At 41.2% G+C, this 15,257-nt stretch overlaps 1 protein-coding gene across 45 annotated transcripts in view, besides 1 other annotated feature; it reads left to right on the forward strand.

The window, feature by feature from the left end:
• Window positions 1-15,257, forward strand: part of FHOD3 (formin homology 2 domain containing 3) — a 482,508-nt gene that overhangs the window by 194,628 nt on the left and 272,623 nt on the right. For all 45 annotated transcript variants that reach the window (XM_011526189.2, XM_011526190.3, XM_017026008.2 and 42 more), the window contains one exon: window positions 9,592-9,659. In XM_011526189.2, coding sequence (XP_011524491.1) covers window positions 9,592-9,659 — 68 coding nt within the window. The remainder of the gene's footprint in view (window positions 1-9,591; window positions 9,660-15,257) is intronic.
• Window positions 7,861-7,910: an enhancer, noted in NCBI's record as "active region_13238". NCBI's record gives its function as "activates an Ori minimal core promoter by ATAC-STARR-seq in GM12878 lymphoblastoid cells {active_cell/tissue: GM12878}" and the evidence as "EXISTENCE:reporter gene assay evidence [ECO:0000049][PMID:35858748]".

Here is a 15,257-nt window from a genome sequence, read left to right on the forward strand (position 1 = left end):
CACATGACATTGCCATGGTTTGGGGACATGTCTGTCTCCCCAAATAGGCGAAATTTTATGGAAAAAAGTATTGGGCAAAAGTTTGTTCCCATATATCCCCTCCAGCTTCCCCAATTTCCCATTAGTAAAATCTTGCATGAATGTGGTACGTTTGTTACAACTGATAAACCAACGGCTGAGACTGTTTTCATTTACAATTATAACCTCATGCTCAGCATAGCACCTACCTAGTAGATAACCAATCATTAAGATTATTGTAGGGTTTATATACTCATAAGTATTTAAAATGTGATTATAATCCAAGGGAATTGGGATTTCAATAAGTTCTTCTTAAGCAGTCTTCTGTCTTACCAGGTCTCATGACCTTGTCATTGTTCACGTGTAGCCTCCTCATCCTCAGGCTAAATCGGGGGTACCTCAAGCCTCCACTACTCACAGTCATCCCCACAGACAAAAGGGATGAGTCAGACTTCTCAAAAGCAAAGCCTTTGCTTTGGCATGTGTGTGTTTTCTCTCTGAATTTACACGGTGGCATAAATGTCATGGCTAGGATGTGAGTGAGTTTCAGTGGCTCAGTTGTTTACCTTATTTTTATTGTACAATCACATCATACGGCCAATTCCATTTCTGTTAGCCATTTTCAGTTACTCTTCTGCATTTCCTTGAGGCTCCAGTCCCAGCTCTGGGGCCAGCATCTATGGTACCTCTCTGCCTACATTTCTTCACCTGTTCAATGAAGATGTTGGATTCGGTCCATGATTTTTACCCTGCAGTTCACAGAATGTCCTGAAAGACCACAGGAAGTTTCTGGGCATCCATATCCCTGAAATTGTATTAACATCTTGTGTATCTGAACTTTTTCTTTTCTTTTTCTTTTTTTTTTTTTTTTTTACAACTTGTATATGGAGGCCATAACTCCAACAAGCTTCAAAATCACAGGAAAATAAGATTTCCAAAGTCCGACCAAGCAATTTTTTTTCACTGTAAAATAAAGTTTTCGTGATGCCACATTTTCTCTTGAAAACATCAGCAGGTAATAATGGAGTGAGGCTGCGGGTTGAAATGAGCCATGCTTCCTGGGGGTTCGTTTGTCACGTGCCGCATTTGAGTTCTTGAGAACAAGGTCTAGAGTCCAATTCTCTTGCCTCACTCAGTGCTGACAGTAACTTGGGTTGCGTGCTTCCTGGCTAGGGAAATGGGCGTCACCCAAGCCTGGCCAGTCATTTTGTAGAGGCTGTCTTGGGTCGTGTTTCAGAGAGTTGTTTTTCACCAACTCTCTCTGACTGGTGTTTGAAGAGCAAATGGCACACAGCTAAATGCCTGGCAGATAAGGAGCTAATTTCTCATGGCTGCACCTGAAAAACCATGATGGTTGTATTGTCAATAACTGCTGCCAACAGACTGTCAGTGTAGACCTGGACATTGCGCCTGTGAATAAATCTCCTCTTGAAACGTGGTATACTTTGCAGCAGCCCAGGGGAAAAAGGAAAGTTATTGTCTTCCCTGAGCAGAGGAGAGGCTCTGGGGACGTGGTCCAGGTTTTCCCACGGGGAGCTTCGTTAATGTATTTGACACTTGATGAGAGAAGCATGTGCTGTAATTATTAGTCTCACAGTTCAGCGATTTTTATAGACCCCAAAGCGTGATACTGTAGATGTATCTTTCACTCCCCTACTTCCGTTCTTGAAGGGGATTTTTGTTCCTCCCCCTACATATTCTTTCACTGATGTAAATTGGTTCTCATTTTTCTCATTGGGCCCTTCTAATTAATGTTCTGGTCTGTCTTTCCCCACACACTGAAGTTTTCTTCATTGTGCTCTTGGCTGAACAGGAAGCATAGCACCCCTTTGGCTGTACTTTTCAGCACTGATCTTTGTGGGCCACAAAGGGGTTTTGAGACAAAGCAGGAATGGTCCCCAGGGGTCTCCAATGCTTTGCCCTCTACTCTTGTTATTACAAGCTAGTTTACAGCATAATACATGATTGCAACTATTAAAGGGACATAGTTCATTTTAAAAGGCAAGAAACATGGCAAGAAAGGATGGAGGGGCAGTTCTAAAGACTTCCACAAATAATGTTCTGATTACACCTTCTTGTGGTTACCAAAGATAAGCTTCTAATTGCATTTACTCAAAGGCTAATGCTACCCAAATGAGTATACCCCAGGCAGATTTAATTTGGAAGCGGTGGGAGAAAAAATGCATATGTTTCTTCATTTATTTATTGGCCAAGTGCAAGCTGTACTTAACCTAAAAGTAAGGGATGTATAATCAGCCTGCCCCCAGCTTCTCCCCAGCTGCTGGAATCAGCAATCAGCAGTACTTCTCCAGGACCTTCTGCAGCCTTAGCTCTCATTGGCTGCTGGCCACCCCTTGGGGCTGTGCTGGGGGGACCTCTTTGCACACCTCCCACCTGGCAGTCCCAGAGCTTCAGGAGAAAGGCAAATCTTAATGACTCCAGTTTGATCTCAGCCCCCATTTCTGCTTTGAGTTTTACTGTTATACTTTTTTTTTGTTTGTTTGAGAAAGAGATAGAATTTCTGCTGGTAGGTAGAAGAGGATCCAGCAGGCATTTCCCTATGTCAGACGTCATGCCCAAACCAGCAACTCTGATGTGACAGCCCTGTCACCTCCGCTCTGTCGCCAAGGCTGGAGTACAGTGGCATGATCATGGCTCACTGCAGCCTTGACCTCCTGGGTTCAAGCAGTCCTCCCACCTCAGCCTCCTGAGTAGCTGGGGCTGTAGGCCACCACCCCTGGCTAATTTTTGTATTTTTTTTTTGTAGAGGCAGGATTTCACCAGGTTGCTCAGTCTAGTCTCAAATTTCTTGGCTCAAGCGATCTGCCGGCCCTGGCCTCCCAAAGTGCTGGGATTACACGTGTGAGCCACTGTGCCCGGCCTTTTTATGCTTTTTTGACATTCACCAGGAAGGGACCCACAGTGTCATGTCTTGGTTGCTCAGCACCTTTTTTTCCTTGATGCTCTGATTTAGAGCTTTCCACCTGAGTCTGGGATGGCAGGAACCATCTGCTCCCCTGCAACCTCCCCTGATTGGAGCTGTACTACCCTCACTAACATGTGTTCATGGCCAAGGTGAGCAAAGAGAAGCAAGGAGAACCTCTGCGAACTCACGAGAAAAGTTTGGGATTCGCATATAGGTGAAGCCTCTGCAGCTGCCCTCTTGCTGGCTTAGGGTAGTCTACAGCCCCCTTCTGCACCACATGTGGAATCTACTTTATTTTGCTTTGCCTGATTTTCAGGCAGTGGGCACACTTGAATTCCTTTCCTTGAGATTCAGGAGCTGTTAGGACAGTCTATACAGTATATTGCATGTAGCTGGAGGGTCAGTGGACCTGCAACTAGGCTGTGCCAACCACAGATTGAAGTCATATGTGCACATGCCTCTGCACACACACACACCCACATATACACGTGGGAGACCCACACAGTGAGCACAGCCTGCAGAGTAGAGAATTGGATTGCAGAACTAGGGAGCACGATGTCTGTCAGTCATCCTACCTCGAGGAATCCTTGCACACACCTGCATAACCCAGACTGAAAATACCTGAATCTACATAGACAGGCTGCTTCTAAAGAAGGGGTGATTGGAGTTCCATAGGAAATGGATCCAAGAGTGATGTAAAGAATGTCTTTGGGAATCTGGCAGGCCAGGTACCGTTCCTGGTTGAGCCCTTCACATTCTAGTCTCAGCTGAAGGAGAGGCCTGCACAGCCTTGGTGAAGTTTCTGTGTGGTGAAACTTGGATGCAACACAAATGGAATGCCTGGTTTCTTGAACTTGGAATGTTACCCAGCAGATAAAGCTCCAGAGGACACCTCACATGGCATTGTTAGTCCTGCAGCAAGGAACCCAGGCCCTGGGCTGTGGGAGGAAGTGCTTCTCCTTTGGTCTGTGTGGGCCTCTCTTGAACCACATCAAAGGGCTGTCACATCAAAGTTGCTGGTTTGGGCATGATGTCTGACATAGTGAAATGCCTGCTGGATCCTCTTCTACCAGCAGAAATTGTACCTCATGTAAAATGACAAATTATATGTCATTTACAAACATCCTTGCATCCTAATCCTTCCTAAGCCTCTAGGTAGACTGAGGTGTCTCTTAAAATGTATGTTACGAATCAACAGAATAAGATAGGTTTAGGCAGAGAGGCTTTTTGGTACCACTGTTTTAAACATAGCAGGTAGCTTTGAGTTTTAATAAAGCACTATGATTTCATTTTAAACCACAGTATTGTTCTTTGTAGAGAGAGAATGTATTATGGAATTGTCTTTCCAAAGACAGTACTCTAGAGTAATATTCCTTTAAATAAATATTTTGTTACTTTTATTTCAACCATGATGATGACGCTAGTATTGCTCTCGTGATATAGGGAATAATGCATAACATTTGTTAAAATATTGAATGCTTATAAATATTAAAGGTTTGCAGTAGTTCAAGAGAAGGTATCTGTCAAAAAATGAAACATCACTGCTAGCCATTTGTATGAAGGATAAAAAAAGTTACAATGTAACAGATGCCACATGGTGGGATTTCTGATCAAGACCTTGTCTGGTGCTTTATACCATAGGGAATTAAAAAGAAAAGCATTTTAAGGGAAATTTCAGCCAAAATAGGTAATATTTTTATATAGATTAGCTGTTCTTTTGAGCTTTGATATTGAAAAACAAAACTTACATTAACATTTGTGAATCTGCAAAGTCTGTAGTGAGAATTCTCTTGCTTAAAACAATAAAAATCATTATTTGGGAACAGTACTACATATTTTCTTACTCAGTTTTGTTTGAAATAGACAATTTAAACAAATGACTATAAAGGTTTTGTTTTGAAAATTAAAGATAGTTGGAATGAAAAGTACTTCTCAATTAGAAATTGTAGTTTATTTTAATTAAATGACATTTGGCAAAAAAGAGGAGAGGTTTTTGGCACCACTGGGAGATATCTTTGGCATTTGTAGAAGGATGCTGTTTATCAAAGAGTTTGAGATGGCGTCAGAACCTGCCTGAGGTCTTTGGTTCTAGTGCCACTGAAGAGTAAGTTGTGATGTCGCAGAGGTTAAAAATACAGTGAATGCATAGCAATTAGAAGACAATGGTCAGATTGCATGTAAGCAAGATGCAACTATATAAGAAATTCTACATAGATAGTTTAAAAATAAAAGGATAGAAAAAGATACACCATTCACTAACCCAAAGTGTCCATATTCATATCAGAAAAGTAGACTTTAAAACAGGGAATATTGACAGGGATGAAGAGAGGTATTACATAGCAATAAAAGTTCAATACACCAAGAAGCCACAACAATCCCAAATGTAAGCACACCTACCAACAGAACTTCAAAGCACCTAAAGCAGGAACTCATAAAGATGAAAGAAGAAATACACAAATCCACTGTAATAGTTGGAGACTTCAACTCTCCTTTCACACTAATCTATAGAACAAGTAAATGGAAAGTCAGTAAGAATATAGAAGATGTGGACACCACTATTACTCAATTTGATATAGTGGATATTTATAGAACAGCCACTCAATAACAGCAGAATACATGTTCTTTTAAAGTGTACATGAGACATTCACCAGGATAAGCCATATTCCGGGCCATAAAATAAGCCTTAATAAGTCTAAAAGATTTGATAAAGTATATGTTCTGACCACAAAGAAATTAAATTAGAAATTAGTAACAGATATCTGGAAAATCTCTAAATATTTGGAAATTAAACAATACACCTTAATAAACCATGGGTCAAAAAAATCACAAGGTTAAGTTATTCCCCTCTGAATTCAATATTAATAAAATTTTCAAATAAATGAAAATGAAAACAATATATCAAAATTTACAGGAAGCAGTTGAAGCAGTACTTAGAGATGAACTTATAGCATTAAATACTTCTATTAGAAACAAGACGGGTCTCAAATCATTTAAATTTCTACCTGAAGAAACTAGAAGAGCAAACTAAACTTAAAGCAAACGAAAGGAAATAATGAAATAGAAATCAGAAAAGCAGTAGGAAAAAACCTCTAATGAAATCAATAGCTGATTCTTGAAAAAGGCTAAAATAAAATTGATAGATTTCTAGTCACTGACCAAGTAAAATAGAAGACACAAATTACCAATACCAGGTATAAAAGGACATTGCTACAGTTAATAAAAGGATGACAGAGAATATGAACAGCTTTATGCCCATACATTTAACAACTTAAATGGACAAATTCCTTGAAAGACACAAATGAACAAACTTCATTGAAGAACAAAGAGATAATCAGAATAGCCCTACATTAATGAAGAAATTGAATAAATAACACAAAGTCTATACAAATCCCTTCTGAAAGCAGAAGGGGAAGGAGTACCCCCAACTCACAAAATTCGCATTGTCTCAATATTAACACCATTGCAAGAAAAGAAACTATAAACCAGTATTTCTTATGATTATAGATGCAGAAATTTTCAACAAAATATTAGCAGTCATTCTCAGCTGATTTTTTTCTAATATTTAATTTGTATTTTAAAAACTGATTATTTTGACTACAGCACCAAGTAGTAAAACCTTAATGATCAGAACACAACTAATGATGATCTTCATTTAGATGAATCAGAAACAATAATATGTCACTAGTAACTAAAGGAGACTTTAACTGTGATATTTTGAGTCTACTTATGGCATATTTCTGCTTATCATCTGCTAACAAGTAAGAAGGTCTAATGCAAGCCTATTGCTATTTTTGTTTTGTTTTGTTTTGTTTTGTTTTGTTTTGTTTTGTTTTGTTTGAGACAGGTTCTTGCCCTATCACCTAGGCTGGAGTGCGGTGACATGATCTCAGCTCACTGCAATCCCCACCTCCCAGGTTCACGAGATTCTTCTGTCTCAGCTTCCCAAGTAGCTGGGATTACAGGCATGTGCCACCATGCCTGGCAAATTTTTGTATTTTTAATAGAGACGGGCTTTCACCATGTTGACCAGACTGGTCTTGAACTCCTGACCTCAAGTGATCCGCCTGCCTCGGCCTCCCAAAGTGCTGGGATTACAGGCCTGAGCCACGGTGCCCAGCAGCCTATTGACTTAAGAGTTACCTGGAATTGGCTCTTTTCTACTGATGTTCTTCCTGGATAGGATAAATCTGGTCCACTTCTTTGGGGGTATACATGGCCCATGCTTTCACTTGATAGTTTTATTCTTATTTATTAGAAGTAGTATTAGCAAAAAACAAAGTCTTTTTCTCTGGGATTTGGGGATTCTCAGATGTTAGCTGTGAAAGCTGGAAGAAGTGTGATCACCCCAGAGACCAGGGTTCTACTCCAGGCGTGATGCAGTAGGAAACCCACTATTTATTACTCATATGTTGAGGCCACACAGACTCTTTAGAGGTCAGCCTGAGAGTCACCAGGGCCTTGTTTCTTCGGGTCAGAGATGAATTAGATGTTCAGATTGGGGATGGTTGATTCCTCTGGAGCTTTCTAGGCTCCTACTTTTTAGAAAGGTGATGCATTTTTCTCTTAATCACAACTCTTCATAATTAGCAAGTGTTTGTGGGCTGCATATTGTATTTAGAGGTGGTAGATTCCATAGTGGTCAAACAACAGGGAATCTTTGGAGTCACATACCACTCCCCAGACCCCCACCCTACAGTATCTTGCCCCTGCCACTTAGCAGCAATATGTATTAAGTTGTGAGTTTGGAGGAGCCTGCACTGCCCCAGGATGTGAGAGAAAACCACAGTGTCTGTAATACAGCAAGGGAGGGGGCTGTGTGACCAAGGGCTTGGCAGACCGTGCAAAGGATTTTGGATTTCATTCTGGCTGCGGTGGGCAGCCACTGAAGGGTTTAAATGGGGAAGTGATGTCATCTAGTGGGAGTTTCCACAGGAGCCCTCTGTTCTTTGCCGGAAGGCAATATGTCTGGTAGGGAGACCTTTGAAGAAATGACTGCCAAGCAAATACTGAGCTTTACCTATCTGTGTCCTGTTAAATCTCTCTCAGTGGGGGCCTATCCATTTCCTGGGCCACTGTGAAAAACCAGCATATCCTTTCTGTCACTAGACTTCTGCAAACTCTTCTGGGGCCATTTGTTCCATGCCACTTGCACAAGGGGGGAATGTGGCTCTGCCCTGTATCCCTTTAGGCTAGAATTGAAGCCCGAGGTGGTTGGCCAATGACGTGACATTGTTTTGAATGCCTTTATTATATCTAAACACTTTAAATGATATTTTGCATTCCACTCCATAGTACACATGCTTAATTTAACACAGAACCCATTTTCCTGTAATACTGTCTGTTCCCATTTTACAGATGGAGAATCCAAGGCTTAGAGATGTAAAGTGTTTTGTTCAAGGTCACATAGCTAGTAAATGGTGATACCAGGTTTGGAATGCAGGCAGTCTGATTACTTAGCCTTTGCTCCTGATAATTCCATTCTTCACTGTGGTATCCTAGTGCCTCGAACTGTACCCAGCAGGTTCTCAGTAAACATGCGTTGGGTGATTCTATTGGAAAAGTCTGGCATCGGGTGCTAGGAATGCAACCCTATGCACACCTGAGCCACCTGGATCAGGACCAAGTGTGGGTGCTGGGAGGCTAAGCGGGATGTGTGCTCCTTGGTGTCCTGCATAACCAGAACAGGACTCCCTCCGGTGTGTCTTCAGCACCTCGCAGCACCATCACTCTGGCCAGCTAGTAATTGTGGCATACTCATCTGTCTCTCTAGCTGCATGGTGATCTCTGGAGGATGGGCCCTGTATTAAGCTCACCTCCTTCTTCCTGAGGCCTGGTCTAACTCATATATTTGAAATGTGACTGCTCAACAGTGGGCTTATGGAAGTCAGCCCAAGTCTTCAGCCAGAGAATTCCAAGAGTGGGATCTTTCATCTGCCTTGCCCATGGCCAGAACCATCCTTGAACATGAGTGAGAAAACAGGCCCAGGCAGAGCTAAGGCTGGCTTCCTGCCCAGAGGCCCTCATGTGACTAGAAGGAGCCAGCTAGTCCGTAGAGCTGCCATGCTGCCCTTGGGTCTCCCATGCTGCCTAGGGAACCCTAGGGCCTGAGGAGCGCTCAAGGCAGCCAGCACACCCCAGGAACAGGAGATGCAGAAAGCATGGGGGTGCAGGGCCTGTAAGGCAAGGGAGGCATGAGGTAGAAGGATGGATTCTGTTCTGGCTGCGTGGGTTTTTCTGGGTATAGTTGGCCATCAAGTGGAAATAGTTTATAAACTGGAAAATAGGGTCTGCAAACAGCTGGAAATAGAGATCTGGAGAGAGGAAGGGTGGGAGATGAGGGTGAAAAATCTAGGTGATAGTTGTCAGTGATAGCCAGAGTGGATTTCTACCTGTTTGAGAGGGAATAGGCAAAAGGGCAGGCCCCAAATCTGTCCCATCTACACATTATTCCATGCCACCTGTCACACACCAGATATGTATATGCAACATTCTTCTTATGGTTGGGGGTAAGGTCTGTATCCTGAATGAAATGAATAGGCTTTCATTACCTTTCCAGGGATAGTTTTGTTATCATTCATATCCTGTCTGTGTTTTCACTGTCAATAGAGTCAGTTTAATTAATTTATATGTTTTATTCTTTATTTCAGAAAAACTATACAACTCCAGCGGACGAGATTTGAGAAGGGCCCTCTTCTCCCTGAAGCAGATATTTCAGGTAAATAGGAAAAAAATAAGTACTTACCTGTTTTTACATTGCTGTGAAATTAGATACAGGCAAGCTTCTACCTGTACTTGTTATGAAAAGGAAGGACAAATTTAGATTACAATATTTATATTTAGATTACAATATACATTAGGTCATAATATCAGTTGAGAATTTTTATCATGTCAAATATTTCAAACATAATAAAAAGTAAAGGTAACTTTATCACATATTTTTCCATATTTACTTCTAGTTTTTTTTTTTTTTAACTATTATTATACTTTAAGTTCTGGGACACATGTGCAAAATGTGCAGGTTTGTTACACAGGCATACATGTGCCATGGTGGTTTGCTGCACCCATCAACCCATCATCTACATTAGGTATTTCTCCTAATGCTATCCCTTCCCTAGCCCCCTACCCACTGACAGGCCCTGGTGTGTGATGTTCCCCTCCCTCTGTCCATGTGTTCTCATTGTTCAACTCTCACTTATGAGTGAGAACATGTGGTGTTTGGTTTTCTGTTGCTGTGTTTTCTGAGAATGATGGTTTCCAGCTTCATCCATGTCCCTGCAAAGGACATGAACTCATTCTTTTTTATGGCTGCATAGTGTTCCATGGGGGTATATGTGCCACATTTTCTTCATCCAGTCTACCATTGATGGGCATTTGGGTTGGTTCCAAGTCTTTGCTATTGTGAATAGTGCTGCAATAAACATACATGTGCAAAGCCTATTAGAGGTATAACTGAAGACCTGTGTTATGCTCCCCCATCCCAAACAACCTCTTTCCACCCTACCCCCACATGCATGTTTCCTAATGGTAAATATTCACCAACAATATGTGATATTCTTTTGTATGAACTGTATACATATGTGATCATGTTGCATATATATCCTACTTCTGCTTACTGAGAATGGGATAGGTGTAGGCATAGCTGGTGTAGCTCTGATTGAAGATTGCATTGGATGAATAAAACACAAGTTGTTTTATTCATTCTTCTATTGGCAGATGGTTAATTTCCAGTGTTTTGCTGTTATAAACCATGCTATTGTGGCTATGCCCCCTTGTGTACCTGTGCAAATCTGTCTTGGATTCCATAGTATCGTTGCCTCCTAAACCTTCCCTCCATTCCTACCCTGAGAAAGTCACCAACATAATGAAGAGGACTAGGACAGGTGTGCAGAGAAGCCCCAAGATGATCAGCCATGTGAGGGCAGGCAGGGTCAGGAGATGGTTTCATAGAGAAGATGGTTTTTGCATTGAGCTTGCGTCTGTCTAGGTTCATTATTTTTCTTCTGTTAGGATTTTTGATTCTAGTTTACATTCTACTTCTTTTCAGTTCCCATCTCATCTACATCCTTAAAAGATTATCTTTGTCAGCGATAGTTGTCAGTGAGAGCCAGAGTAGATTTCTACATGCTTGAGAGGGAATAGGCAAAAGGGAAGGCCCAAAATCTGTCCCATCCACACATTCTTGTCCCATTCTTACTTCACTGTGTTCAATCATACCACGGAGTCCCTTCTCTGTGTTGACATTTCTGCAGACAAGTCCTCTTTCTTTTCTTCCAACAGCCATGGTTTTGAACCTGGTGCACCCTTGCTCCACCACACTGCATACCTCGGAAATGCCTTGGGGTTTAGAGGTCTGCCTTGGTTCATGCCTGGAAAATTGCAGCAGCTATTCATGGCACTGTGTGTGTTTGGTCCTCCCTAACTCAGTCCATTCTTAGCTTCCCACCAGAGGGAGTTACTCTCTTGTTGGTTCCATGTTGCCTTCTGGGTTACGTCTGGATTTCTCAGCATAACATGGAAGTCCTTCTTGATCTGGCCTCTGCTGCCCACCTCTCTGTCCTTGGCTACAACCTGAGTTCCTCCTGAAGTTGTACTCCAAAAGTAAGGCATGCCCTTTCTGTTCTACACCTTTGCCCTGGACCTGCGACTTATTGATTGATTGAGATGGAATCTCACTCTGTCACCCAGGCTGGAGTTAAGTGGTGTGATCTTGGCTCATTGCAACCTCCACTTTCCAGGTTCAAGTGATTCTCCTGCCCCAGCCTCCTAATTGAGATTACAGGCATCCACCACCACGCTTGGCTAATTTTTATATTTTTAGTAGAGATGGAGTTTCACCATATTGGCCAGGCTGGGCTCAAACTCCTGACCTCAGGTGATTCACCCACCCAGGCCTCCCAAAGTGTTGGGATTATAGGTGTGATCTACCACGCCTGGCCTGGACCTACAACTTCTATCCCAGAATGTTTTGCTACCCCACACCCACTCTATATGTATCTCAGTTTTCCTTCTGGTATCTCTTCCTGCTAGGGATGCCCTCTCAGAATGATCACTCACCCTAATTAGGGTCCCTCCGAATACCATTAAAAGTATCCTGTGCTTCATATACACCATGGAATACTATGCAGCCATAAAAAATGATGAGCTCATGTCCTTTGCAGGGACCTGGATGAAACTGGAAATCATCATTCTCAGTAAACTATCGCAAGGACAAAAAACCAAACACTGCATGTTCTCACTCATAGATGGGAATTGAACAATGAGAACACATGGACACAGGAAAGGGAACATCACACTCTGGGGACTGTTGTGGGGTGGGGGCAGGGGGGAGGGGATAGCATTAGGAGATATACCTAATGCTAAATGACGAGTTAATGGGTGCAGCACACCAGCATGGCACATGTATACATATGTAACTAACCTGCACATTGTGCACATGTACCCTAAAACTTATAGTAATAATAATAAAAGTAAATAAATAAATAAATACATAAATAAATAAAAAGTATCCTGTGCTTACCTGTTGTACAAGTTGAGCATCCCTAATTTGAAAATCCATTAGAAATGAATTTGAAAAATTTTGAGTCCTGACATGATGCCACAAGTAGAAAATTCCACACTCGATCTCATGTGATGGTCATAGTCAAAGTGCAGGCTCACAACACACGATTTATTTAGCATTCCCAAGGAAAAAAGAACCTCCTGCCAGTTTTCAGCTGTGATATATATTTTCCACACATGCCCAGATCCCTCCATGCAAGCATGCCCACAAAGGGCAATAAAATGGCATGTGTGCAGGCTGGATGCACCAATGGGAGGTTCCCCACAATGTCCACATGGGCCAAGAGATACATGCATTACTCATTGTGTGTGTTTGCTTATTCTGTGCTCTGTGGTATAAAGGTATTGTTAAAATGTCCAAAAGGAATGCAGATACCTCCTTGGGTAACAGTGATAAAAAAGAGAAGTCATTTATATATACCTATAGCACAGAATGAAGCTGTTGGAGAAACTGGGCAGTGGCGTAAGTGTGAACTGTCTTACAAAAGGGTATGGTGTTAGAATGATCACCATAGATGACCTGAAGAAACAGAAGGATAAACTGTCGAAGTTCTGTGTGGAAAGCAATGAGCAGAAGTTACTGAAAAATAGGAAAACATTGCATGAAGCTAAAAATGAAGATCTCAATTGTGTATAGAGTGGATCCATCAGTGATGCAGTGAACACATGCCACTTAATGGTATGCTGATCATTAAACAAGCAAAGATCTATCATAAACTGAAAATGGAAGGGAGCTGCATATTTTCAACAGGGTGATTGAAGAAATTTAAGAAAAGACACAACATTAAATTTTTAAAGATTTGTGGTGATAAAGCTCTGCTGGCCACAAAGCAGTAGAGAAATTCATTGACAAGTTTGCCAAGGTCACTGCTGATGAAAATTTGATGCCAGAACATGTCTATAATGTGGATGAAAAAACATTACTGTTTGTAGTTACAGCCCCAGAAAGACACTGACTAGAGCTGATGAGACAGCTCCTATGGGAAATACGGGTGCCAAGGACAGAATAACCATGCTGGGCTGTGCTAATGCTGCAGGCACACATAAATGAAATTTTGCTGTGCTAAGCAAATGCATCCTCACTATTTTAAAAGAGTGCATTTCTTACCATTCCATTATTATGCTAACAAAAAGCCATGGATCACCATATCATCTTTTCTGATTAGTTTCATAAACATTTTGTACTGGGGACTTATGCTTACTTCACAGAAGCTGGACTAGATGATGATGGCAAGATTTTGTTTTCCTCGACTGTTCTGCTGATCTTCCAGCTGAAATTCTCATAAAAAATAATGATTATGCCATGTACTTTCCCTCAAATGTGACTTCATTAATTTAGGATATCCTTAGATCAATGAGGAATCAATTCTTAGATCCATTAATAAAGGATATTCTTAGATCAATGAGGAATAAGTGTTAAAAACACTTTTTTGAACAGCATGCTAGCAGCAGTGAAGTTTTCAAAAGCAGTTTAGCATGAAGGATGTTCAGCATGAAGGATATACTACTGCCAACACTGGAAACACAGTGACTAAAGACACAGCTGTGCATGCCTGGCACAACCCCTAACCTCTGAATATGTTTAGTGATGATGGTGAACAAGTGGTGACTTTGAAGGATTCTGTATGTCAAGTGAGAAGAAAATGATGTCTGACCTCCTTGTAAATATAAAAATTGTTTGCATGTTTGTCTTCAGAGTCCATCAATGAGCTGGAAGAAGTGGATATTGAAGTTTTTAACATTGGTGAAGAGGCCCCAGTTGTTCATTCATGAACCAATGGCAAATTGAAATAGCTAAAATGTTTCTGAATCAAGGTGATCTTATATAAGTGATAATGAAGATGATAACACTGTAGAAAAAGTGCCTAGAGATGACATGGCGAAAATATGTGATGGGCTTATTGAAGTGTAGATCAGTGCACATTCAAAACAGAACAAGAAATCATATTAGTTTATAAAAGCAAAGATTTCTAAGACAAAAACGCTTGTTAATGAGGCAGATGATTGTGGAGAAAACATTAAAAGCCCATCCAGAAGAATGCCTCCTCATCCCTAGAGGACTCGCTTCTGGACCCTCAACTACTTTTGATGTTTATTCTCTCCCCCCAAAATAAAATATAGTGTATAGTAGCCTTTTAATCAAAACACAACATTGTAGGGGGAGACTGTAGCAGATGAGACAGATATTCTGGTGATGCCACTGTACTTAGTTACCTGGAACATGTTATGCTTTTTCATTGTATAAATGGCATGTCATGTTTTTTTCCTGTTAAGTACTTATTTGTGAATAGGTGTAGGAAAATGATTGCATATTTGTAGCATATAAATTCAGAGTCAGGAGTGGTGGTGGTGCCAAACTAGCACTGATCACCCACATGGGTGGCTAAGATAGTGACACCTTTGCTTTCTGATGGTTCAGTATTCACACAAACTTTGTTTCTAGCACAAAATTATTTAAACTATTGTATAAAATTACCTTCATGCTATATATAAATTGTGTATACGAAACCTAAATGAATCTCATGTGCAGACTTGGGTTCCATCCTTGAGATATGTCATTATGTATATGTAAATGTTCCAAAATATAAAAACAATCTGAAACACTGCTGGTCCCAGACATTTTGGATAAGGGATACTCAAACTGTATAGAACTTAAGATACTTCAGAGCACTTGTCTTGAGTACGGTAGTCTGTGAGCTCACTGGGGTTCATCGCCAGGCCTTTCGTGCCTAGCATAGTATCTGGTACTACTTAA

Source organism: Homo sapiens, chromosome 18 (assembly GCF_000001405.40).
Source record: "Homo sapiens chromosome 18, GRCh38.p14 Primary Assembly".
Taxonomy (NCBI): domain Eukaryota; kingdom Metazoa; phylum Chordata; class Mammalia; order Primates; family Hominidae; genus Homo; species Homo sapiens.